The following is a 27,139-nucleotide window of genomic DNA, read 5'->3' on the forward strand; positions in this document are numbered from 1 at the left end:
CATCCCCTCTTACTGCTCCAGCATTTCTGGTTGATTTCAGAGTTGGCTGTTAGAGTTGGGGCCAGATCTTTTCACATTGGACTCCCTGAACCCCCCAGGATTTGGTGAAGGAGTCCTAGGACCCTCCACTTTTGCTTCCAACACAGCTATTTTATAGATTGGTGTGCTGAGATTTAATTTGAACAAGTTTACATGCATTAAAAAAGTTTATGGAGCACTGAGCTAGACATTAACAAAACTGATCTCAAATTTTGCAAGGCAGGCATTAAGATCTCCATTTTACAGATGGGAAACCAAGACTCGGAGTAACTAAGTGGCTTCCCAAGGTTCATGGCTGGTGAGGACAGGAGGCAGGGCTCTGACATGGCAAAATGGCTACAAGATTGTCCTTTCTCCTATGGTTCCTGCCCTCAGAGAGTCCATACTTCATGGGCACAGGCACCTGCTGGCATTGTCTGGTGGGGCGTCACTGGTGCTGACAAAGGGAGCAGAGATGACTGGGTGGTCGTGGGTGTCTTAGGCAGGCTTGCTTTCCCCTTTCTGGAGAGTTCACTCTGGACAGAGACAGTTGGGGCAAAGAGTGGGTGGTGGCAGCAGGGGAGGCACTGGGAAGCCTGCCTTAGCCTATAAACCCTGCCCCAGTGTAGAGGCTGTGTAGATAAAGCAGATGACACCCCCATTCCCATTCCTGATCTTGATCTGTGTTCACAGCAAGCCACGGAGTAATCAACCCTCAGACCTGGCAGAGATGCTCTGTGTGGGAATGAGGCAGGCCCCTCAGCCACCTCTTGAAGCAGCACCCCTAGTGCAGGGACTCTCCCCCAACCAGTCTCCCTTCCAGGTGATGGGACCTTGACTCATGGGTCATGTTTCCCCCACATGAGCTACTAGGGCTGGATGGAGGGTCTCAGGGCCCACTGAAAAGGCCCAGGGGCTGAGGGGCTGGGCTCTTAGCTGTGGGCCTGGCCTGTTTGAGCCATGCCTTGGAGCTCATGTTTTAGCACCTAGCGTGTGCCAGACATATCTCGTACTTGACTTTGTTTACTTTTCTGTTCTTCCAGTAGCCCTCCCAGGCAGAGATTATGCCCACTTTGCAGATGAAGTCACTGAAACTTGAATAGTAGCAGAAGAAACTTCCCAGGTTCCTATGAGTGGTGTGTGGCAGGACCAGGGTCTGAAGCTAGGGGCATGGAGCCTCACAATCCCCTTCCTAATGGGAAGGCTATCCCTGCCCAAAGAGTTCCAGTGTCATCTGACCCCTTCCCTGATCTGGTCTAGCTGGAGGAGATGTCATAAACCCATTCCTCCTCTGCCCTGATCTTCTATGCCCCTGGATGCCAGAGGAAGGATTCTTGGGTGTGACCTTCTATGGCCTCTGGTCCCTGAACTTGGGCAAGGAGTGCCTGGCACCTCTCAGGATGCTTTAAAGTCAGAGTGCTTCCCTGCAGAGGAGACAGATGTTGGGTCTGAGTCACACAGCTTGGGATCCCCTTCTGACTCCACTCTGTGACCTTGGACAACTCTCTTAATCTCTCTGAGCCCATTTCCTCATTAGAACATATGGATAGCAATGCCTGCCCCCCAGACTGTGAGACTGGGAGAGGTAAGGCATGACAGTTTGCTGAGCTCCCAGCATGTCATAGGTCCTGAAAAAATTCACGTCACATATGAGACCGTGTGGGGCATGATGGTGTTTAAGGAAGTATTGAGTCACAGGTTAAAGCCTTTAGAAAGGAGGCTGACTTCCTGGGAGAAGCTGCAGTCAGAGCTCCTGTCTAACTGAGCCACCCACCTGCCCTTGAGGCCTCTCTCTCTCTCTCTGAAGGTTCCTGCCAGGCCAGGCCCTAGTAGGCTGTGCAGTGGGACTCGCCAGGGCTGCTATGAAAGACAGGTGAAGCAGGGGAGGCTCTGCCCAGTGCCATTAGGCAGGTCCAGAGAACCCCTCCTTACAGGATCAGGAAGGGAGCCAGAGACTGTGGCTCCCTTTGTACCAGCTGGTGAGGGGATGGACTGGCCCAGTGTGCCTCCTGTGGGCAGGTGTCTCTGTGCTGTTGGCTGAGCCAAGTTAAGCAGACAGGACTCCTTCTACAATGATGGAACCTACAGCCAAACAGTGGAGTGACAGACAGGGACAGAAGGGTTGGGGGGTGGGGAGTATCTCTGAGAAGGGGACACTCAGCCAAGGATGAATGACAAGAAGTTGATTATAAGAAAAGAGAGGCTGGGCATGGTGTCTCTTGCCTGTAATCCCAGCACTTTGGGAGGCCGAGGTGGGCGGATTACCTGAGGTCAGGAGTTCAAGACCAGCCTGGCCAACATGGTGAAACCCTGTCTCTACTAAAAATACAAAAATTAGCCGGGTGTGGTGGCATGCGCCTGTAATCCCAGCTACTTGGGAAGCTGAGGCAGGAGAATTGCTTGAACCTGGGAGGCGAGGTTGCAGTGAGCCGAGATCACACCACTGCACTCCAGCCTGGATGAAACAGCGAGACTCTGTCTCAAAAAAAGAAAAGAAAAAAAGGAAAAAAAAAAAAGAAAAGAGAAGAAGGGCATCCCAGGAAAGAGAATAGCAAACGCAAAGGCCTTATAGTGGAAACAGCCTTTGAGAATCTGAGGAGCAGAAAAGAACACAATATAGAGAGTGCTGGTCTTGTTCAGCCTCCCCAGGACAGAAGTGAGCATATGGGCACACTTATGTGACCCAAGGAAGTCAAGATTTTTGAAGACACCTTTCTCTAGGTTCTGCCACTGACCACCCAGGACAGAATGAGTCCAGGGCTCAGGATGGGTTGGCCAGATGTGAATCAGCCCCCACCTGGCCCTTTACTTTACAGATGGAACACCAGCTCCTAAGATGGCTTTGATATCTAATTGCTGGCAATAAATTAAACCCACAAAACGGTGGATGCAAAGCTCATTGGGGCTGTTAACATCAGCAAAGCCAGTGGCTGTGCCTGTTTTCACACCAAGATGCCGTAAGATACAACTCACCTCTGGAGATAGATTACATGGAGATAGGGCTCTGCCCTTTGGGCCTGGAAGCGAGAGGGTCGATTCCTGTTACTGAGCTCCTGTAACTAGGCTTGATCTTATCACAGTTATATGAATGCTTGGGAGGGAGATCCTGGAGTAGGGGTGAGCAGAGATTTTCAGCAATAGTCATATACTCTAATCTCAGCCAGCAAGAGACAAGCCCCTCCTCCCTCTAGCCCGTGAGTGAGTGCAGGCTAGGGGCCTGGCTAGGAGCACTGCCAAGGGATGAGGGGATCCCAAGGTGTTCTTCCTGGGACAGCCATCCTCCTCCTATGGCCACCTTTCCCAGCCTGCCCTGAGAAGGTTTTCTTCCTTCTGTTGCTCTGGAAGTCAGGTGGGTTTCCTGAGAGAGTTAGTTCCATGGAATAAATACTTCCCACCTGAAGCTGGGAGGGCTGCCTGGAGGAGGTTAGGATGCCGTGCATGTGTGAAAGGGGGTTTAGGGAAGGAGCAGGCGGCCAGTTTCCACGCTCTGGAGGGAAGATAGTCAGAGGTCAGCTGAATTGTCCAAGGTTGCCCAGAAGGTTAGTAGCTGGACCTATGAACAAAAGAAGGCTCCCTGGAGATGGTCTGAAATGTAGGGGCAGAGGAAGATGGCATCAGGACTGGAGGGACTTAGAAGAGCTTGTGGCTCTAGCTTCAGGACTTCCGATGATTCCTCCTTAGAGTATGATCACCCTTAGAAAAAGATGGTACCTCTTGGGCCTCTGCACTTTCTTGCCTCCATGTTTGTCCTCTTGGACTGGCCAAACCCAGTCTTCCAAGGATGGAAGTGGATCCAGGAAAAATGAAAGTTGACACAGGCATGGTTCAGAAACAGCTTGAGAGCTGGAATGGACAGGCAGTTCTAAATAGACTCTAAGACGGTCAGAGCTGGAAAGTACCATTTGATTCTCATTTTATAAATGAGAAAACTGAGGCTCAGAAGCCAGCTACCCAGCTTCGACTGTCTCGCCCAACATGTGCACCCCCTGTCCCCTGGCTGGGCCACCTTGCCTTCCCTGGCCTTAGAGTTCCCTCTCAGGTCTTTCTGGCTCTCACCTTTTCCTGCAGAGCTGTTTTCCATTTTTGCTTATTCCTGAAGGGGACTTTATCGATGACCGGTTTTGTGGCATCCATGGCTCTTAATTAGGCTTCCTTAGGCCTCCTTTCAGAAGGCTTTGAGTGAAAAGACCATCAGTATTTGGCACTGGCATCAGTGTAAAGGGCTCTGCCCATAGCACGGAGAGAAGGGCAGATGTGCAGGGAGACTGGTGCTGAATTACTGGGGCCTAGAGAGCCTGGAGGCCTGAAGAGGGTTTTTCAGACCCCATCCCATGCATGTTCTGCTGGAAGCCAGAGGCCCTTCAAGCCTGAGAGCCCTGGCTTCTGGGCTGGCTGCTGACGTCCCCCTCCCTACCACTCTCAGGACAACTGCCCAAAGGCTGGACACACACAGGGATTTCCTGGCTGCATCCTGTGAATGGAGTGGGGCTGAGGAGATGTTGGAAGCCATAGCCTGGCTGAGTTGAAGTCCCTACTCTCCAGCTGGAAATATAGCCACTGCCTATAGGCTCTTCAGCATAACGATGTCTTTCAGAGAATCAGGGCTATGGAGATCACGAGAGGAGAGTAGTAGTTTTGCTTGGCTTTGGAACTTGAGGTGGGTTTGGAAGGAAGATGGAAGGTCAAAGCAGAGAGGGCACAGCATGGCTCTGGGAATGGTCTTGCTGATTTGGGTGTGGGGAGTGTGGATAGGAAAGGGCGGGCCTCTCTTAAGCTTTAAGTGCCCAGCCTGGGGTGGAAAAAGAAATGCCAGGCTGAGTATGGACACCACTCTGGAGGCAACAGGGAGCCATTAGGGACCCTTGGACTGAAGAGAAGTGACAAGCGAGTGGTTTGGGGCAGCTTCGCCTGGGAATTGGCAATGATGAAGCCAGAGTGGAGGAACTCTCCTCACAATTTCTCCCAGATTCAAGTAGCACGGCCTCAGGGCAGACGTTCCTCTCCAAGGGTGACTGGGACTGTGGCTGGATGCTCAGAGACAGCCCAGGATGATTCCCATGCGAATCACCATCAACCCCTGGCTCATGCCCACCCTTGGTTAGAGTCTTCCTTGACAAGCTCTCCCTGGGGCATTCTTAAGCCAGCACCAGTTGTGTTTTCCAGGTGAGCCGAGCAGTTCTCATGTTGCCAGACCTGAGGTTCCTCACTGCCTGGGACCTCCTGTCCAATGGAAGGAAAAAGGAAAACTTGCATTATTGACAGATGGATCCTGAACCCCTCAGCTCATGTAACCCTTGCAGCAGTCACAGGCAGGTGCCATTCGCACCCATTTTATACCTAACACCTCCTGATGAGCCAAGTCTTCTCAGACTCCACAGTCCCTGCTGGTCCCTGGACTCTGGGGTTACCCCGGCTCTGGGCCCCATCAGAACCTCCCTGGGGCCTCCACCTTGAAAACCTGCCTGAGCGTGGATGGTGCATGCATTTACTGCAGGCTCCTTGAGTGATACTGCTCCACAACTGGGTCTGGGGAGGTTGGCCCCAGGTGGCCACCTCTAGTGGTCTCTTTCTGGCTGGTGGTTGCCAGCATCAAGAACCACCATCACTTCTCACACCATTCAAGAAGCCCTCAGGGTTTTCTCTGCATTTAGAAAAGAGCACAAAAACATAGGCTATATCCTGGAAGTGGGCAGGGGATAGGGGAAAGCCTCTCCCACTTTCCTCTTCCCCAAAGTATCTTCCACAGCTTCCAGACTTGTCACTATGGAGTGTCACAGTCTTAGGTTTGGTAATGCTCACTCCAGGTTCTGCAAAAGTTTGAAGGTCAGCCTCTTAAAGATTGTGGTCGCTGGCCAGGCGCGGTAGCTCACGCCTGTAATCCCAGCACTTTGGGAGGCCAAGGCAGGCGGATCACGAGGTCAGGAGATTGAGACCATCCTGGCTAACATGGTGAAACCCTGTCTCTATTAAAAATACAAAAAAATTAGCCAGGCATGGTGGCGGGTGCCTGTAGTCCCAGCTACTCAGGAGGCTGAGGCAGGAGAATGGTGTGAACTTGGGAGGTAGAGGTTACAGGGAGCCAAGATCGCGCTACTGCACTCCAGCCTGGGCGACAGAGTGAGACTCCATCTCAAAAAAAAAAAAAAAAAAAAAAAAAGATTGTGGTTGCTGCTTTCCCTGGATATAGAGAAGGGGTTTTGGTGTCAGGAAGTCCTCGGAACTCTGGGGCTGGCTGCTACGGCTGATCTTGGACAAGTCTCTTCTGTTCTTTGCAATCTCAGTTCCCTTGACTGTAAAATGGCCAAAATTATGCTCACAGGATTATTGGGAGGATTTGACGTGAGAATACATGAGAAAATACCATAATTACAGAGTCTGGTGCTCCAAGAGTAGAATTACTTCAGGTTAGAGGGAGTTGGGGGGCCCTGGACCAGCTCTACAGAATGGAGAGATGAAAGGGGCTGGAGGGCGGGTAGCATCTGATCTGACAGAGAGGGCCAGAGCAATTATATTCATCCAGGGGCTCCTATGCCATGCGGAGGTCTCTGCTGTACTATTCCTGCCCTGCAGACATTAAGGGTAGTCTGCTGTTTACCTAGAAGAGTTTATATAGACAATAGTCAAAAGCCTGGGGTCCAGGGAGCCAGTATTGGGAGGCCAGTGGCCAGCCTGGAGGAAGAAGAGAGTAGGTGGAGAGAGCTGGAGACATAGTGCTCTTTTCCAAAGGCCACACCTATGCTCACGAACTTGGGTTATGCCTCAGGCCTTGGGTGCTGGGGGACAGCCCAACAGGAACGAGAACGTTTCCTAAGCAAAAGATAAACTCTGAGGGCACTACCTGGTTCCAGGCCCAAGGAAGGCGTGTTTTTAGCCCCCTGTTCCAGCCTCGTACCCTGGCAGTCCTGGTCCATCTTACTGAGCACATATCCGCACGCCTCATGCTCCCCAGGGCCAGTTTTGTAAGCCCAGAAGTCAAGGCCTAACTTGAACCTGATGAATGAATCAGATCAAATACATGCTGTATGCTCCCAGGCCTGATTTCTCCAACTCCTCCAGGCCACATCCAAGGGGGAGCTGCCGAAATGTCCATGCCTCAGTTTCCATGAGGAATAGCATTCAGCAGTTCAGGTCTGTGATGGACTCTAAGAACAGCGCCAGGGCCAGGCGCGGTGGCTCACACCTGTAATCACAGCACTTTGGGATGCCGAGGTGGGTGGATCACAAGGTCAGGATCACAAGGTCAGGAGTTCAAGACCAGCCTGACCAAAATGGTGAAACCCCGTCTCTACTAAAAATAGAAAAATTAGTTGGGTGTGGTGGTGTGCGCCCGTAATCCCAGCTACTCAGGAGGCTGAGGCAGGAGAATCGCTTGAACCCAGGAGGCGGAGGTTGCAGTGAGCCAAGATTGCAACACTGCACTCCAGCCTAGGTGACAGAGTGAGACTCCATCTCAAAAAAAAAAAAAAAAAAAAAAAAAAAAGAACAGTGCCATAGGTTTGTCATGCTCAAACAAGTAGCTTCCAAAAGGAGCCAGCATGTCACTTGGCAAGAGTGGAAACAAGACAGAGAAGGGGGAGGTGTCATACACCGTTTTGTTTGTTTGTTTGTTTGTTTGTTTTTTGAGATAGAGTCTCACTCTGTTGCCTAGGCTGTAGTGCAATGGCACCATCTCGACTCACTGCAACCTCCCAGGTTCAAGCCTCCCAGGTTCAAGCTATTCTCATGTCTCAGCCTCAAAGTAGCTGGGATTACAGGCATGCACCACCTCACCTGGCTAATTTTTATATTTTTAGTAGAGACAGGGTTTCACCATGTTGGCCAGGTTGGTCCAGAACCCCTGACCTCAAGTGATCCGCCTGCCTCGGCCTCCTAAGGTGCTGGGATCACAGGCGTGAACCACTGTGCCTGGCCTTCATACACTTTTAAATAACCAGATCTCAGGTAAACTCACTTATCACCAAGGGGATGGCACTAAGCCATTCATGAGGGATCGGCCCCCCGTGATCCAAACACCTCCCACCAGGCCCTACTTCCAACGTTGGGGATTACATTTCAACATGAGATTTGGCAGGGACAAATGTCAAAACCATTCAGTCATAGATGGACATGTAAGAGGGAGAGAGGCACCAAGGTGACTGCTAGAGTGTTGCCTTGGGCTGCTAGAGAGATGGAGGTGCTGTCTCTTAAGATGAGGAGACTGTATGTGGAGGGGATGGTTTGCAGCATTGGCCACTCTCATTTCAAGATACTATTAGACATTCAAGGTGTCACGAAGGCAGTTGAAATGATGAATCTTGTGGCACAGCTTTGGGAGACATCATGATTTATATGGGGTCCAAAGCCACAAGATCAGACAAGAGGAGAGAATGTGCAGAGAGATGAAAAGGGGACTCAATCCTGTGGCAGAGGTTGGGGAGACATGAAGGATCCAGAAAAGTAGACTGAGAGGGAGCAGCCGGCTAAGAGAAAAAACAAGAGGTATAGTTTATTGGAAGCTTCTAAAAGCAAGTATCATAAGAAAGGGATGGTCACGGCTGGGCGGGTGGCTCAGGCCTGTAATCCCAGCACTTTGGGAGGCTGAGGTGGGCGGATCACGAGGTCAGGAGATTGAGACCGTCCTGGCTAACACGGTGAAACCCCGTCTCTACGAAAAATACAAAAAATTAGCCAGGTGTGGTGGCACATGCCTGTAGTCCCAGCTAATCAGGAGTCCCGAGGCAGGAGAATCGCTTGAACCCGGGAGGCAGAGGTTGCAGTGAGCTGAGATCGTGCCACTGCACTCCAGCCTGGGAGACAGAGTGAGACTCTGTCTCAGAAAAAAAAAAAAGGGATGGTCACTGTGTTGAATGCTGTTGCACAGGAAAAGTAGGATGAAGACAGAGAAGCAATAATCAGATTTGCCACCACAGACATCCTTGGTGGCCTTGGCATGGACGTTTCAGTGGAACAACAGGGCTGGAAGCCCAAATGGGGAGAAATGGGAGCTGTAGATATGGAGGTAGAGACAGTGAGTGCAGTGAAGGGGAGTGGCAGCCTTTTTCCAGGCACCCCACGAGGAGCCTTGAGCTCTGGGCTTCTCCTCTGGCTGACCAGAGCCCTCAGGGGCCATAGAGAAAGATAAAAATGGGTCCTATGTTCTGGAAGTCAGGGCCTGGGTTGGCCAGAGTGGATGAGTAGATGAGCTAGGCTAGGAAGGATGAATCAGGTACAAGAATCCATGTTCAGTCCTGTCACAGCTCTCTATCACAAGAGCCTAGCTTTGAAAACTACTCCCTGCTCATTAGCAGGAAGGATGAGCTCCAAAGAGGGTGGGCTCCAGAGTACAGGGTTGCCAGTGCTGCCCAGCTCCATGTCCCGTCTCTGTGTATTATTCTCTGAGAAAGTGATACGGCTGTACACAGGTAAATGTGTCAGAGAAGCAACACATAATCATTGGGAAATTGCAGAAAGGAGGAAAGGGTCTCTTCTTGGTATATTTTACTCTGGTTTGTATCTGCACGTGATTGTTCTTGCATAATTATAACCACACTGTGAACAGAGTTTTGGGCCTGATTGTTTTTTGCTGAATGTGACACACTAGACATTCTTTTTGTTGATAGATTGATTTCATGGTTGTTATTGGTTGCATACAATTGCATGGGGTAATGTCCCATGTTCAATAACTTCATCCCCTACTGGTAGTCATTTGGATTATTTCCAATATTTATAGACAATGTTACATTGGATATCTATAGAAATGAAACTTATCTCAATCCATTTTCACAGAACTAACATTTTTTGGGGGAAGTTCTTGATACCCACTTGCCACAGTGCTGGTGGGAGGGTCACCTGGACCCACCCTACTTCAAATAAGTAGCCTACTATTACACTAACTGCTTGCACACAGTCATTAATTTTTTTTTTTTTTTTTGAGATAGAGTCTCGCTCTGTCGCCCAGGCTGGAATGCAGTGGCGCAATCTTGGCTCACTGCAAGCTCCGCCTCCTGGATTCATGCCATTCTCCTGCTTCAGCCTTCTGAGTAGCTGGGACTACAGGCGCCCGCCACCACGCCCGACTAACTTTTTGTATTTTTAGTAGAGACTGGGTTTCACCGTGTTAGCAAGGATGGTCTTGATCTCCTGACCTCGTGATCTGCCCACCTTGGTCTCCCAAAGTGCTGTGATTACGGGCTTGAGCCATCGTGCCCGGCCCATTAAAATTTTTTTATTTGGGCCAGGCACGGTGGCTCACGCCTATAATCCCAGCACTTTGGGAGGCCGAGGCGGGTGAATCACTTGAGGTGAGGAGTTCGAGACCAGCCTGGCCAACATGGTGAAGCCCTGTCTCTACTAAGTAAATAGAAAAATTAGCCAGGTGTGGTGGCACGTGCCTGTAATCCCAGGTGCTCAGGAGGCTGAGGCAGAGAATTGCCTGAACCTGGGAGGCAGACACTGCAGTGAGCTGACATCGCACCACTGCATCCATCCTGGGCGACAGAGTGAGACTCCATCTCAAAAAAAAAAAAAAAAAAAAAAAGGCCAGGTGTGGTGGCTCACGCCTGTAATCCTAGCACTTTGGGAGGCAGAGGCAGGTGGATCACGAGTTCAGGAGATCGAGACCAACCTGGCTAACATGATGAAACTTCGTCTCTACTAAAAAAAAAAAAATACAAAAAATTAGCCGGGTGTGGTGGCAGGCGCCTGTAGAGCTACTTGGGAGGCTGAGGCAGGAGAATGGCATGAACCCAGGAGGCGGAGCTTGCAGTGAGCACCAACACGGTGAAACTCTATCTCTACTAAAAAAAAATACAAAAAATTAGCCGGGCATGGTGGCAGGCGCCTGTAGTCCCAGCTTCTTGGGAGGCTGAGGCAGGAGAATGGCATGAACCCAGGAGGCGGAGCTTGCAGTGAGCTGAGATTGCGCCACTGCACTCCAGCCTGGGTGACAGGGTGACAGAGTGAGACTCTGTCTAAAAAAAAAAAAAAGAAAAATTTTTTATATGATAGGCCAAAGAAGGGGTCTTCTTGGCCTGGCGTGGTGGCTCAAGCCTGTAATCCCAGCACTTTGGGAGGCAGAGGCAGGTGGATCATGAGGTCAGGTTTGGGACCAGTCTGGCCAACATAGTGAAGGCCTGTCTCTACTAAAAATACAAAAAATTAGCCAGGTTTGGTGGTGTGTCCCTGTAATCCCAGCTACTTGGGAGGCTGTGGCAGGAAAATTGCGTGAACCCGGGAGGCAGAGGTTGCAATGAGCTGAGATTGTGCCACTACACTCCAGCCTGGTGACAGAGCGAGACTCCATCTTAAAAAAAAAGAAAAGAAAAGAAAAGAAAAGAGAAGGGGTCTTCTTGTGGCTTCAATTTGTCTTTCTTTGGTAGTTAAAGAAGATGTTCATTTTCCTATCTTTTCATTTACTATTCTATTTCTCCTCACGGGAGGAAGCAGTTTCCATCAGGTGACCCAAATTTGTACCTTTCCCCGTGGGCTCTCTGAATGGCTCATCAGCCCTGCTAGGGCTGTTCTCACCAGCTAGAATGATGCAAGGTCAAATCTCTGTGTCCTCCTACATTGTCTCCACGCCTTCAGCCGGTCTTCATGGTTGCACTCTTCCTTCTAAATGCCTCATAGCAGCCTCCTGGCCTGCCCCACAGACTCCTCTAAGCCAACATTGACTATCCCCAGCCACTTCCCCTGGACCCTGAAGAGCCTTCAGAAAATATACTTTGACCCACTGACTAGTTTAGTCTCTACTGACTACTCAGAATTCTTCATAGTCTGCCTCCACCCACCTGCCACCCTGCCCCCACCCCCAAGGAAGTCTTGGGCTCTGGTCACACTGGCCTCGTCATTGCATCCCACTCATCTTGCTCTTCCTGCCTCTGTGCTTTGGTTCATGATACCACCCCCGAGAGTCATATCCACTTAAACTCATCCTCTGAGACCTTGCCTCCTCAGCCGAGCCTTCCCAGATTTTTCCAATCCACTCAGCCTCCCCTGCCTCTGAACAGCTGAAGCATTTATAGTCTATAGGGGCTCTCTGACAGGGTCACCAATAAGTAGTCCTCTTTCCCTCATCCAAGTTCTGAACAATGGAGAGATAAAAACTCAGATGGAGGCCAAAGCATTATCTTCTTTATTGAAGAAGGCTTAAAGGAGGAAGTGGCTTAGTGTGAAGTCACATGGGTCTGTGCTGGGCTGACTTTCCCCCTTCCCCTAGTCTCACTTGTTTTGGGTAAGTGAGGCCCCACACATCCCGGCCAGTGGAGACCGACACATAGAAGAAAGCATCGGAATGGGAAATCTGCCCCCCTCCTCACAGTTCATACCCCAGGAGCAAATGCTAAATACTGTCTTGAATTAACAGAGTTACTATGGGTTGGCCGGGCACGGTGGCTCATGCCTCTAATCCCAGCACTTTAGGAGGCCGAGGCGGGTGGATCATGAGGTCAGGAGATCAAGACCATCCTGGCTAACACGCTGAAACCCCGTCTCCACTAAAAAATACAAAAAACAGCTGGGCATGGTGGCGGGCGCCTGTAGTCCCAGCCACTTGGGAGGCTGAGACAGGAGAATGGTGTGAACCTGGGAGGCGGGACTTACAGTAAGCTGAGATCGTGCCACTGCGCTCCAGCCTGGGTGACAGAGCTAAACTCCGTCTCAAAAAAAAAAAAAAAAAAATAGAGTTACTATGGGTTTTGTTGCTTCAACTATGCTGGACCAACTATATGAGGTCCTTAAAGCCCAAGGTATGTGCAGCTTCTTATCTTCAAAGTGCCTTGGAGTAGGTGAAGAGGACTCCCTCTTAGCAAGCCCTTCCTTCTCCATGCACACTCACCCCAGTTAAGTCTAAAATTCTGTTCTGAGGACCTCATTTCCCTATGGACGCTGGTCTGAGTGTGCAGGCAGAACCATGGGAGCAAGCAGGGATATAACCAGTAATATTCACTCAGGTCTCAGTCAGGAGGGTGGCAGGGCCTTTCCCGAGGGCAGTCTTCCATGGGGGTGCAGGGCATGAAGGCACAATTGCCTTTGGTGCCTCTGTACTAAGATCAAGGAGAGAGTCAAACAAGAGGTTGGGATGGCATAGACATGTTTTGCTTAACTCACAATTGTGTCACAAGCCTCCTTTGGGCTTTTACTGGACTGATGATAAGTGATTGGATTATCCAAGACATGGGGATTAATTATTTTGGGCTGGACAGAAGAGTCCATGGACAGAGCTAGGTTACAAACTCCACTGCTCCACTGGCTGTTGCTTTCTGGAGGAATGTGAACTCTCATACAATTTGGAACCCACCTGGTAATGCCTGGATTCCAGAGCTGTGGGTGCACACACATCATTGCACCGTGTAGAATTAGAAAAAGATTTATCTAAAAATAACTACTGAGGAATATCTAATTTGATAGCAAGACTATGACTAATCCATGAAACAGACAGTCTGTGTGACAAGACACAGTACAATAATGGGGAGAAATTCATGTTTGACCTTTAAGCAAGTGCAAAATGAAACAGATCTATGCCTTGGCAGCTGAGGACCCTGTGGCTCTAGGGAGAGTGGCTGTGAGCAGGGGGTTTGATGGTCATGGAGGAGAACTGATGCAATATGTAGTTCTCAGGGGTGCTGCATCATGGAAATAGCTTAGGGAAATCAATTTCTTTTGGTGTTAAATAGAGAGAAGAGGCTCATGCTGAGTTAAGTGCTGGCTGGTAAGAGGCAGACGCAGGAGGCCAGCCCAGCTGCGCAGGGGTGACCAAACCAGCTCTCGCAGGCTAGCTTGGAGGAGAAGCAGATTCCACAAATGCAAGGAGACCCAGCATTTCTGGGAAGCAATTTGAGCTGGTAGGAGGGGAGCAAGGTTCCAAAGTTTAGTGAGCATTTACCTTGTGCCGGGCTCTGTGTTGAGAACTTTGCAGGCATTATCCTCAGAAGCATCCCTGATGTAGAAGCCATTCTGATTCCCACCTGACAGGAAGAAACTCGGTTCAGAGGGATTAAGCTACTTGCCTGGGGTCACCCAGCTAGGAAGTATCTATCTGGAGCTGGATGTGAACCCAGCTCTGACTCCAGAGCTCTCAAGTTCTATTCCCTGTTGCTAGGTCACCTGAAACTTGAAAAAGCCTGAGGCTGTCAGTGGGCTGGAGTGACAGACTGGGGCTGGGACAGGCTGGGTGCAAGTGAGGTTTTGGCAGGGGCCACCCCATGATGAGTTCTCATGAAAAATTGCCATGGCTCCTGGAATGGCAGGTTTCTGAATCAGGATCACTTCTCTGATTGTTCCATAACTCATAACTGCATATTATAAATTCTGATCCATCACCCTCAATGCTAATTGGAGAACAGAATAGTCCCCATTTCTTAGAGTTGCTCTTCTTCAGTGGTGACAGAGTGAGTACTATTCCTGCTGCTCCCTGGGTCAGGGCCCTGCATGTTCCGAGTACAAGTCCTAAGGTGTGATCTTGTGAGAGAATTCTCTAAAGATTTCTCTTTTTTGGCATCCTGTATTAAATGTTCCTCAAGGAAGAGATTAGCAGTAATCCTTGATCAGATTCAGGGCCAATTGCTTGTTGGTGCCCCTGGCAACATTCTTTCCCTGGACCCTTAGCATGGGCAGGGGTGTGAGGGACAAGCAAGGTGTTGAGACCACAGCTAAAGCAGTGGGTCACAGAACCTGGAGAGTGGGCTGTGTAGGGAGGTAAGCTGTGCTTCCCCTCCAAACCCGGGAGATGAGCGCTGGAGCCTGGCACAGATGTGCCATCTTGAGAACAAAGGAAAGATTGGCTCAAGGAGGAGAAAGAAGCCTGGAGTGGTCCTGTGTGAGCAGTGGTCCTAGATGCTTCTGCACAGACTTTGTTGGTGCTCAGAGAATTGGGGAATGTGCAGTGGTGCCTCTGAGCCCAGGACTCAAGAGGATAGGCCTTTTCCTAGGCTGTTCCCTCAACAAGCCCAGGATCTCCTTGAGGGGAGATCATGTTCTTATTCATGTCTCTTATCTCTGCTTCTGACCCAAGGTCTGTCAATGGCTGGTTCCCTAATGTCATGGGACGTGGCAAGGCCCCAGCGGCTGCCCCTATCTTCCACTCTAGTCCGCACATTTCTCCCCACTCCCCACTTGCTCGCTCACACATCATGTCCTGGTCACACTGGCCTTTCCATTCCTTGGATACGTTAAGCTCCTTCTTCACCAGATTCACCTTTCCCAAATGCTGCTTGCTCTGTCTAGAACACTTTTCTCTTCTTTACTTGGCTAATTTGTATGTATTGTCAGCCTCCAGTTTAAATATCATTTCCTCCAGGAAGTCTTCCCTATTTGCAAACTAGGTCAGAATCCCTGGCTGAGGCTCCCTCTGTACATGTACCCTTTCTCTTTCTCTTCTTTCCTAGTACTTGTATCTCTCTTCGTTTTTTTTTTTTTTTTTTTTTTTTTTTGATGGTGTTTTGCTCTGTCACTCACGCTGGAGTGCAGTGGTGGTGCAGTCTTTGCTCACTGCAACCTCTGCCTCTGTCTCCCGGGTTCAAGTGATTCTACTGCTTCAGTCTACCGAGTAGCTGGGACTACAGGCACCCACCACCACACCTGGCTAATTTTTGTATTTTTAGTAGAGACAGGGTTTCGCCATGTTGGCCAGGCTGGTCTCGACCTCTTGGCCTCAAATGATCTGCCCGCCTCAGCCTCCCAAAGTGCTGGGATTTACAGGCGTGAGCCACTGCACCTGTCCTTGTGTCTCTCATTAGATATTTGCTTGTGTGATTATTGGTTCAGTGTCTCTTCTCCCAACTAGATGCTAAACTCCATGAAGAGAGGCTGGGTGCAGTGGCTCGCTGTTTTTTTTTTTTTTTTTTTTTTTTGCTCTGGACCTGGCCCATAATAGGTGCTCAATAAATTTTTGGTAAATAAATGATTCAAACTTTTTACACTTCAAGATAAAAAGTATGAAAAGCTGGTGGGGATAAAGTCTCGGTTCTTTTCCTAGCCCCAGTCCCATAGCATTTCAGAGATGGGGTAGGTGGTGCTACACTACTCAACAGGCTTTTGTTTTTTAACTCATTTAACTCAAGTGAGTTGGTGAAGGCATTCAATTGGTGGTTTTTTATGTATAGAGAAATTACCTCTGTCCTGATTTGGAATATCTGTGCTATTTTGGGCTGTTTTTCTCTTTTGGGCCTGTTTGTATTGTAGCAATAATTTCACCATTTGGCTATGCAGAGGCCCAATTAATATTACAAATGTGGTCCTATAAAATGTGCTTTTTGACATCAGAACGTTTTGTTGCTAATTACTCTCCAAGGTTTTTAATTTCAAGCCCTCCTTGGTGACTTAGTGCAGAAATTTAAGGACATAATTATTTCCCCCCAAGGGAAAAGAGATCTAGGTAATGCCAAGTTTCTATCTATTTGCCCTTCCTTCCAGGGGGTATCTTGTTTTTGATTCTATCTCCGCCCTTTTTCCTGGACAGAAAATAAACATGCAAACAAAAACCCTATTGGAACAAAAATATAAATTTCTGGAAAACATTAAAAGCACTCATTTACTAATGTATTAATTAAAACAATATTTACTGAGCACCTACTATGTGTCAGATGCTGCATGCTAGGCACTAAAAATAAAAAAGAATATAGCATGGTGCTGTCTCCAGGTAGCTCACAGTCAAGTGGGCAGCAAGCAAGTGCTGGGAATTCTCTGACACATCTGGAAACATCTGGGGGTGCTTCTCATGGTGGGGCTTATTCATTAGAGCCCATCCAGAAGTGCCACATCAGTCTCCACGAATTAAAATCAGGAGAGCTTTGGCCATTTCTCATTTGAAGACCTTGGCTAACTGAAAGAAATCCACATTTTAATAACATTTTGAATGGGTTGATAAAATAGGAACAGATGGTTAAAGTTTGTCATTTTAGGGAAAATAATGAAATATTGTACTGCTTAATCTGTCTTCCTGTCACACTCTTCCCTATCCCCTCCCTACTGAAAATATATTCAGATGCAACAAAACTTAAAGCAAAATACTAATATCTTCTTAGACACTTTAGGTCTCTTCACCTGAAAGTGCTCTAATTGTGTCAGCCATCTCTGTGTTAACTTTATCTTTTTTTTTTTTTCAGACACATTCTCACTTTGTCACCAGGCTGGAGTGCAGTGGAGCAATCTTGGTTCGCTGCAATCTCTGCTTCCTGGGTTCAAGTGATTCTCCTGTCTCAGCCTCCTAAGTAGCTGGGACTCCAGGCGCATACCACCATGACTGGCTAATTTTTGTATTTTTAGTAGAGACGGGGTTTCACCATGTTGGCCAGGCTGGTCTTGAACTTCTGGCCCCAAGTCATCTGCCTGCCTCAGCCTCCCAAAGTGCTGGGATTACAAGTGTGAGCCACTGTGTACAGCCTTTGTGTTAACTTACTTTGAATTAGCCCCTTATTCCAAAGCTGCCTCCTGAAAGGAGGCTTCCTAAAAGGTGTTGCTTTGGGGTAAATAAGAGGTGCTGGTGAAGTGAGACTAGCTTGCGCATCTCTCTGCCATGAAGGAAACTAGCTCCGCAGACGTTTTACTAACCACAGCAGACCCCCTCCTTGAGGAACCCAGAAGGGCAGAGGTAAGTTGGGTAACGTGTTCTTAAGTCTTCCATTTACCTGACCCTGGGGTTCATATGGGGATAAGCTCCAGCTGCTGACACCTTCTGATCAAGAGAAGGCAGAATGTCACCACTATCACCTGCACTTTGTTTGGATTTGCCTCTATACCCACTGCATTTCTCTGATGTTTTTTTCTACCATTCTGTTTGGACAGAGCATCAGATGAAATCAACTGCTGAGAGAGGGAAGTGAGTGCTGTGTTGGCACCGCTGCCAGAAACTCTTGAGAATGAGCATCGTGTGCCACTTATCCACTGCTTGCCGACTTCAGTAGCAAGAGCCTCCAGAATGCTCATGGATAAACATCATCTTTGTGGCCACACATTGTTTTATGAGCTGAGTCATCAGACTGGCTGGCTCCTTAAATGCTGCTGTGTGATTCTCTAGGCAGCAGAAAACAAGGAGAGAAGATATGAAGTGTATCTCATCGAGCTTTGTAGAGGGCCAGTATCATTCACCAAAGGTGATGGGGGATTTACCATTATGGAGTTTGCTTGTGATAAAAAATTATTGATCAACTTAAACTCTAAGAGAAAAAGATGATGCTGTCTGCATTTCTTGTAAATTATTTATAAAATTTGTTTGGGTATCGGCTATTTTTAACAGCCACCAGTCTTAACGAATTTCCTGCAGAAAACTTGATTCCTTCCTTGCTCATCGAGTTGCAATTTATCATCTAAGGTAATGAGTTAAACCCAAAAGTAACAGTGACATGATAAGTGAAACTGTTTGCATACTTTGTTTTTTAAATTGCTCTATCATGTTTATCTTTTTTATAGCTACTCAATAAGACATTGCAATGAATTTTTAATTAAAACCAATATGTCTATAACAAAGAAATTTAATTAATTAGAGTTTCTGAGTTTGCCGATTTGTGACTTGCTGAGGTAAACATCTCAGTTCTCTCTTCCAACCTATTTCATTATGGTCTCAGAAAACGTACAGGGAGATTATTCACCCAAGAGTGTATGTTAAATTCATGTTAGGTGGTAGGCACTATGTTAGTCTCTGTGTAAGGTAAAAATAATTGAAGAACAATCCTTGTCACTGAAGAAAAAAACAGATGTTTGCCAATGTGAGAAGCAGACCCATTTGATCTCTTGGAGAAGGGTGGAATGAGTAAGTGCTACAGAAAAGGTCATAATGGGTGCAAAAAATCCAGCTGAACTGAGGGCAGTTGGGGAAGCCTTCTTCAGGAAAGTGGCCCTGAGACAGCTCTTGAAGCATGATGCAGATGTGTGGGTTTCAAGAGTAGAGGACACAAGCTGAGGGACACTCTATGCAAAAACCCAGCCAGAACAAGGCAATGGTCTGAAGTTGGGATGGCCCTGGGGAATTCTGGGAAAGTAGTTTCCAGGAGGTGACAGGGTCAGAACGCAGACCTTCAGGTGGTGAGAATCAAATGAATTACATTGAAATAAAAGGATTTGGAATGGATGATTCTCCTCTGTAGTCAGATGGAGAGAGGAGGAAGAGAGAGGGAATGGGGGGATGAGGGTACCAACAGGGCAGGTCTTCCTGGGACCGCAGGAGTCTGTGGAGCAGGTCAGGGTGAAAATGGGAGACAGGGCAATGATAGTTGGGGATCCTGAGAAGTAGCAGGCAGTGAGCCTGGTGGTGGCGAGAACACAAAGAAGAGCAGTTGGAGAGGAGGGGAGGTTACTGTGCTGAGGGTCTCGATTTTCAGAGGCAAGCTGGAAGGCAGCTCATATGCTGAGAGAGTGTGTGTGTGGTGTGTTGAGTGGACTGGGAGCCTGAGGAAGGAAAGGATCAGAGCAGATGCTAGGGGGATAAGAGAGCAGGTGCATGGTCCTGCTGAAGGCCAATGTGTGCTATGCCCTTTTGCTTCAACTCACAAAAACAATCTAAATTTATACAAACAGCAAGAGTGTAGGAGTCCAGGCTTACTAAGTCCCTTCCTTCTCACTTTGGTCCCTTCTTTTCCCTTCCCTGGTTGGGTTTAATGCCCTTCCACCCTGGAGCTGAGGTGTGCAATCATGGAGAATTTTCTTCATCTGGGAAAGCCATAATCTAAGATGGATTCAGACTGGGAACAAGAGTATAAACTTTGGAAAAACTGGCCCTTAGGCTCTGTGACTGTCATCACATACAGCAGACAAGGGAGTGAACTTAGAGGATGAAATAAGAGCTTTAAGGTTGTTCCCTGAAGGCCTGCGTAGCTCAGCCCCACTTGTTGAATAGCTACCTGGAGAGTTTTGTAAGAATGTGGCTTCATTCCATAGAATACTTCCATGGTGGCCACCGGGGAGGGGTCTATCTTCTTGGAACAGTTAGCTCTTTCGTTATGTTCTTGGACACCCCTGCTACCCCTAAAAAGAAGTGTACCTGGCTATTGAGAAATTCTATCATTCACAGAACAGACATTTTTCTGGGCGGGAGTGGGCAGCTATGATTAGTGAGAGGAGGAGCCTAAAGGTCCGAAGGTGGGAAGGGGTGGCCATAACCCAGGGGAGCACAGTCAGGCCTGGGAGGAGTTACCAATCATGACACTTTGAACGAAGAATCAACAAGATCTGTTGATTGCAAGATATTCTTCTATTAGTCTGGCTTCCCATGCAACAACTATACAACAGGTGCTGGGTTGGTGGTGAGGGTTTAGAAAGTTGATTTTAGCCTGGAGCTTGCCTTCTGGGAGCTGACAGTCTTATAAGGGAAATAAGACAAACCGAACATAGCTCCAATTCCAGACAAAGAAGGAAAGGAGACTATGGGTCAGGGCAGGCTTCCTGGAGGTGAGGGGCTGAGCTGGGCTTTGAAGAGTGGTGGTGTCTGAGAGTGCTAGTGAAGGATGACACCAGGGTTTTGACTTAGTAGTGCTAGTGACAGAGATGGGCAAATCTGCTGGGATTAGAGCATGTGGTCCAAATGTAGGTGGAAAGGAGAAGTCCTGCAGTTCCTGTTCTTTGGTAAGTGGTTGACTTGGGGGTCACAAGGTGACATTTACAGGCATCAGAATGAATGGATTCTTAGGGAGGAGAGAGAGGAGGAAAGTTTCCGGTAGGAGCCAGTTCTTAGGGCTCCAAGGGAGGCAGACACCCAGGAGCAGCAGATGCCGTGTCCTGGGTAGGAACACGAAGGGCCCAATGAAGCTCTTCCTTACTAGCAAGGCGGCTGTTGATTGTTCTGGCCCCAAACATTCACCACTCAGGCCATCTCAGAGAAGCAAGAACCCAGGAGGTGTCAGCGGCCTCAGCCCACAGGGGATCCAGGAGAGAGGGGCACGAGTGCACCCCACCTGGTTCCCTCGTGGCGACTCCATCCTGCGGGCCCTGGGAATGCACAGGGTGGCTCCGGGGACCTTTCCGACAGCACTGTGGGTGACACTGGGATGGGTCTGAAAATGGTGTCGTGTCCTCCTTTTCTGGATCTCCCCTCTCCGACCAGGAGGCCTGTGGCCATCTCGGGGCGCAGGCAGGAGGCACTGGAAGCGGAAGCGAGTGGGGAGTCCGGGTAGAGGGAGTCGCCCACCTGACCGGCTTCGCCCCCTCCGGGGTTTGCTGCAGCTGAGGGCCCCGGACCAGCGATTCTAGAAGCCGGTCCGGGGCCGGGCAGTCCAATAGCTTCTCGCGGATTTCCCTCCGCTGGCGCGCAGCAGCGGCGCGTGGATTCGCGCGCGGGCTCGGGACGGCGCGAGCCCGGGCAGCGCGAGCCCCTGCGCGGCAGGGAGTGGCGCATGCGCGGGCGTCCTGCGAGCCCGCTGGGGCGAGCCGAGCCGCGGCGGCGCCGGGAGCCGGGCGGCGGAGCTGTGAAGAAGCAAGCGGCGGCACGGGAGCAGCGGCGACGGACAGGTGGCGAGCCTTCGCCCGCGCCGCCAGGGGCTGCTGGGCCACCCGCGGAGCCTCGCGGTCCAGACGTGGCGGGGGTGGCGGCGGCATCCCGGACGGCCTGTGAGGGATGCGCCGCCCACTGCCCCGCGCCGCCTGACCGTCCCCGCCTCGACTCGCGGTGCGCCACAGCCGGGCCCGCGGCCGTCCCCGCCGCGTTGTCGCCCGGTCGCCGCGCCCGCGGGGCCGCGCCCGGCACGGCCATGTGGACCCCCACGGAGGAGGAGAAATACGGCGTAGGTAGGTGAGGCTCAGGCCTGGCCGTGGCGGGGGTTCTGGGGGACGCGCCCAGCTCCCGGCCCCGCCTGGATTCGCATCCTCGTGCCCCCGCCACTGCCCGCAGGCTGCGCGGCCTCGGCGCGGGGCGAGCGCGGGGTGGGGGCAGGTGCGGGTGCGGGTGCGGGTGCGGGGGTGGGCGCGGGTCTCTGTGCAGAGAGGGCGGCAGGGGGCGCTGGCGGTGCGGCCTTGGCAGGTGCGGCCCGCGGGAGGGGTGGGCAAGGCCCGGGCAGTTGCCCGAGGTTTCTGGTGTGGGCCACGGGGCAATTTTACCCGATAAACCAAATTCTGGGAATATGTTTTCTCCCCTCCAAAAGCTCGATTTTAATGAGTTTCCGCACCTGAATTGATGAGCCCGATGGCTGTTTATTTTTGATCTGGAACCTTACAAGAAAACGGATGAAAAACGTTGACATCATTTTCCCAGTTCAAAAATTTGGACATTTGACTGCAAATGTTTGATCTGTTTTAATTTGTTTTGCCTTTAGTATTAGAAATAATACCTTACGATGGGAAATGTTTTTGGACATGTATCAATGTTTATACGGTTTTTTTTTTAAACCCTGTTTTCAGATGAGACCTTATTCCTCTTAGAAACCTTTTTTTAATGTTGTAAGTGTTAAACTCCAGAAGCTAAATAATTCTTACAATATTCAACTTCTTTAAAAAGAATATTCAGTAATTTAAAGTATTGAATGTTTTACAATGTTAGTGTTTTGTGGCAATTACATGATAGAGTTAAGCCTCATTGCATCACCTATCATCTTGTTCAGTTAGAAACAGATTTAAAATGTTGAGTGTACAGGTTTTGTTTTTCCTAAGCTCGTAATGGAAAATTTTAGATAGGAAACCTGTCTAAACATAGATTTTTGTTTCCCATCTTTACCGCAATTTAATCAAGATTTAGTTCACAATTCACTACAAAATAACTTGAAACTGCAGTGGTAACGAATGTTTTGGAATGCTATCAGGCAGGTTATCGTGTGAAAATTGAATTTATTTAAATTCGAGGACCAGCAGAGAGGTCTTCTATTCTGGTAGAAGATCTTGTTTTAAAAGGTAACTTTCTGAAACAATTAGGTATGTTAGGATGGAGGTGATAAAGGGAGCTCTGGTCCTAGAGTCTCTATTGAGAAGGAATTGAGAAATGATGCGAAGAGCTGGGATTCACCTCTAGGGACATTTTACCCCTTCTCTTAGAGTATTCCCTGAATACTGAGTTGATTCTGTGAAGTGAGGAGTTGGTGGTTTATCTTCTCCATAACTCGCTCCCAGAACTGCTGAACTAGAATAACAAATAATTGATGTGAGTGGTCAACTCTCCAGTGGCACCCCATGATTGATTTTTTTGGAGGGGGGAGGAGCCCTATTTTGGCGGGGGTGGGGGCGTGGGGGGAGGAGCCCTTGAATAGTGGACAAAGTGGAATTCAGAGTCCTAGCTTCTCTTTACTGGTGGTGTGGGCAAGTAATTTAACATCATTTAACGTCATTTTATTAATGTATAAATTGGGGATAATGTTTACCTATCTTACAGGATTGTGAAAGTGAAATGAGAACGTGCTGAATGCTTAATAGTTTCTTCTTTTCCCTTAGTATTTAGACTAATAACACTAAGTGTGTTCTGAGACAGAGCCAGTGCAAGGTAATCAAGATAGGTACATGTGAATCTCAAAGCACTAGGATTTGGTGTGTGATTTTCCCAGCAAGATGCAACGAAATTCTTGCATTCCTAGGATTGTGTTTTTAGCTTTAGAAAAATTGTTATTCCCTTTGGAGGGCCACAGCATTGGGCTCAGGGCAGAGCTTAATGCTTGCTAAATGAGAGAGACAGTTACACTGAAGACATTTTCATAGCAGCTGTGGTTTAGCATAACTTAGATGCCTTTTCTACCAAACCAAGCAACTCTCTATTTATCTCACAGTCTTCCACTGTCCCTTCCTTAGTTATGATCTAAAAGTTTTTGTGTAAATTGTTTAAAACTCAGGACACATTTTTTTTCATAAGGATGTTAGGGCTACACTTCTAGAACTTTTCATAAAATCCACTTTATAAAGTAGCTTATACATTATACTTATGAGAAAAATAGTCAATTAAAACGGCATTTTTGCTGCATCATTTGATTGCTATGAGGGCTAGCTTGAAAATATAACCATTATCATTTTCCTGTGAGAAAATGTTTGAGTTTCAGCTTTGATTTTTATGACTAACTTGGAGCACAGATTTGTGTCTTTGTTTGTCAACCTATAATCACATAGCAAGGAGGGAAACCCCTTACACTTACTTCCTACCAATTTGGAGAAATTTGTGGAGGAGGGCCTCGAGGGCCTCCTTTTGCCCTGATGTTAGTGAGGGAAGGAGTCCCCTGTTGCAGCAGTACAAAGGGTTTTTTCCACTGCAGCTGTTCATTTGTATTTGACATTGATAAGGCTTTGAGATCCTGTAGTAATACTTATTAAATTTTTTATAATATAGGAATTCTGTACAGGTTATAACATGACTGAATTGTTTGGTTTATTCATTTAGGATGAGGTGATGACTGAGCCCCCCTTTCCATTGTAATATTCTGTGAGTGATTTTAGGCAGTGGGGAGGACATTATCCTTTCTGAGGGTCAGTGATAGGCCTGTCAGTGTGCCTGGGACTCTCACTTAGGTAACCCCATGTCGATTCCCAGAGTAGTCTTAATGTTATCATTATTACACAGATAAAGAAACTGGATCCCAAAGGTTGTTAATTTTTTTTTTTTTGTCCTTCAACGATTGTATATTTTTCTTAATTTTCTTCTTGGCAGTGGGCAGTATTTTGTGAAATACTTGACTGTCTTGCTTTCTTTTTGTGGTACTGTAAGGTACTGTTCTTTACTGTACCCGTTCGCCCGTGTTTTGACTTCTTATGTCCCTTTCCCTCTTAGAGAATCTCTGCTTTCCTTTCTGTTGCCATGAATGCTTGGAAAGTCCTGCATCCTTCCATTCTTTATTCTACCTTTCCAAGAAGCTTCCTGCTCTAAAGTGTATTAGGTGAGAAAAATCCAGCTATTTTTGTGAAACACCTGTCTTTCCCTATACTGACTGTACCCAGAGTACCAAATATAGAATACAAAAACCAAGAAAATGCTTTTCTCACCCTCTAACAGGAGCAACAGCAGGAGCAGCAAGCACCAACAGTTTTTAAAACAAAAATGTTTGTAATTACACTCCTTGAATAGAAAAGTGGTAAAGGTTTGAGTACATAGGTATTAGTTTGACGTCTTAGAAGTGGAAGCTGCTTCAGAAGGTCATCTTGTTTATTCTGCTGCTGTCATTAGGCAATTTTTTTTTTTTGAGAGGTGGGGTCCTGCTCTTGTCATCCAGGCTGGAGTGCAGCGGCATGATCATAGCTTACTGCAGCCTTGAACTCCTGGGCTCAAGCGATCCCCCTGCAGCAGTCTCCCAAGTAGCTGGGACTACAGGTGTTTACTACCTTGCCTGCCTAATTTTTTTTTTTCTTTTTTTGAGACGGAGTCTTGCTCTGTCGTCCAGGCTGGAGTGCAGTGGCGTGATCTCGGCTCACTGCAAGCTCTGCCTCCCAGGTTCATGCCATTCTCCTGCCTCAGCCTCCCGAGTAGCTGGGACTACAGGTGCCCGCCACCATGCCCGGCTAATTTTGTTTTTGTATTTTTAGTAGAGATGAGGTTTCACCATGTTAGCCAGGAGGGCCTCAATCTCCTGACCTTGTGATCCGCTCGCCTCGGCCTCCCGAAGTGCTGGGATTACAGGCATGAACCACTGCGCCCAGCCTTGCCTGGCTAATTTTTAAATTTTAATTAAAAAAAATTTTTTTTAGTGACATGGTCTTGCTATGTTGCCCAGGCTTGTCTCAAACTGCTGGCTTCAAGCTATCCTCCCACCTCAGCCTCCCAAGTCACTGGGATTATACCTGTGAGCCACTGTGCCCAGCTAAGGCAAATTTTTGAGTAATTTAGGGCATTTATTGCTTATTTTTTATTAATCCCTCTTAGTAGAACATGAAAAATTTTTCTCATTACCAATCTGAAGACCTTACATTTTAGTTTTGTAATGTTATATTTATTTTTTCCTATTTAAAAAGTAATGCGTATTTTATGCATTATTTTTACCTAACTTCCTTTTGGTTAGGTTTCTCCAGATAGGGAAGAAAAGCACTTAAAAACAAACAAACAAACAAACAAACAAATCCTGAGTCCTTAAAAGAAACTTGTAAAGATCCTGTGGTGCAGGAAAAGAATCTGAAGGTGGGGAGGAAATAGATCCTTGAAACCAGATCTGGAAGAATTAGTGTTCACAAAATTTGAGTAAATCTGTTGGTAAATGGACTAGAACTCACCAAAATAGTCTGAAGACAGTGTGCTCTTTAGTTATTTATTCAGTGAGGGAAGCCCAACCTTTGCAACCTCTGGAAGGGCCCCAATACCCCTTTAGAGGTAAAGACATCATCCACTAGGGGTAGGAAAGATTTCATAGACCTATGACTTTATTTTGTTCTGAAAAGTGAGGATGTGCTTGATGTCTTGTTTAGTGTTTATGGGGAACTTCCTTATTCATGATTCTACTTGAGCTTTACACTATATCACCACCTCTCCCCTCTTTTTTAAACAGATGAGAAAGAAGCTTTAGCTGAGAGAAATTAAGTAACTGATCTAAGATACTTTAGATAGTAAGTGCTGAGTTGAGATTTGAACCTAGGACTTTGAGATTCTAAGCCACAGATTGTATTATTACACCGTGTCCTCTGAAAGGAATTGTCAGTAGTATATGACTGTGGCTTGAAAGATAAGACATACTCTGCAGTTTTCAATTTAAACTGGATAGTTATATTTAAGGAATTTTATTTCTGTATTGGACTATTTTTTTCTTTTTCTTTCTTTTTTTTTTTTTTTAGACAGAGTCTTGCCGTGATGCCCAGGTTGGAGTGCAATGGGGTGATCTCGGCTCACTGCAACCTTCGCTTCCTGGGTTCAAGCGATTCTTCTGTCTCAGCCTTCTGAGTAGCTGGGATTACAGGTGTGCGCCGCCACACCTGGCTAATTCTTTTCTATTTTTAGTAGAGACGGGGTTTCACCATATTGGCCAGGCCGGTCTCGAGCTCCTGACCTCAAGTGATCTGCCCGTCTTGACCTCTCAAAGTGCTGGGATTACAGGCATGAGCCACCGTGCCCTGCTTTTTTTTTTTTTTTTTTTTTTTTAAGACGAGGTCTTGCTATGTCACCCAGGCTTGTGTGCTATGGCATGATCGTAGCTCATGGTAACCTTGAACTCCTGGGCTCAAGCCATCCTCTCCAGTAGCTAGGACAACAGGTCCATGCCACCATGCCCAGCGAATTTTTAATTTTTTTTTTTTATAGAGACTGGGTCTTGCTATTTTACTCAGGCTGGTCTTG

The 27,139-nt window shown here is 48.0% G+C and overlaps 1 protein-coding gene, 1 long non-coding RNA gene and 1 other non-coding gene across 23 annotated transcripts in view, besides 1 other annotated feature; all 3 read left to right on the top strand.

Annotated features, from left to right (window-relative positions):
• The first annotated feature begins 15,846 nt into the window (after positions 1 to 15,846).
• On the top strand, positions 15,847 to 18,459 carry LINC02019 (long intergenic non-protein coding RNA 2019). The gene is made up of 2 exons (NR_183733.1): positions 15,847 to 17,584; positions 17,779 to 18,459. It is a non-coding gene; the product is annotated as a long intergenic non-protein coding RNA 2019 (long non-coding RNA).
• Positions 21,299 to 21,588: a silencer, noted in NCBI's record as "silent region_14406". NCBI's record gives its function as "represses an Ori minimal core promoter by ATAC-STARR-seq in GM12878 lymphoblastoid cells {active_cell/tissue: GM12878}" and the evidence as "EXISTENCE:reporter gene assay evidence [ECO:0000049][PMID:35858748]".
• DOCK3 (dedicator of cytokinesis 3) overlaps positions 21,335 to 27,139 on the top strand; it is a 709,272-nt gene continuing 703,467 nt past the window's right edge. For all 21 annotated transcript variants that reach the window (XM_005264914.4, NM_004947.5, XM_006713010.4 and 18 more), the window contains exon 1: positions 21,335 to 21,708. In XM_005264914.4, the coding sequence (XP_005264971.1) occupies positions 21,672 to 21,708 (37 nt within the window). In that variant the 5' untranslated portion in view covers positions 21,335 to 21,671. The remainder of the gene's footprint in view (positions 21,709 to 27,139) is intronic.
• MIR4787 (microRNA 4787) lies at positions 21,488 to 21,571 on the top strand. The gene has a single exon (NR_039950.1). It is a non-coding gene; the product is annotated as a microRNA 4787 (primary transcript).

The sequence above is a fragment of the Homo sapiens genome, chromosome 3, assembly GCF_000001405.40.
Source record: "Homo sapiens chromosome 3, GRCh38.p14 Primary Assembly".
NCBI classification, from domain to species: domain Eukaryota; kingdom Metazoa; phylum Chordata; class Mammalia; order Primates; family Hominidae; genus Homo; species Homo sapiens.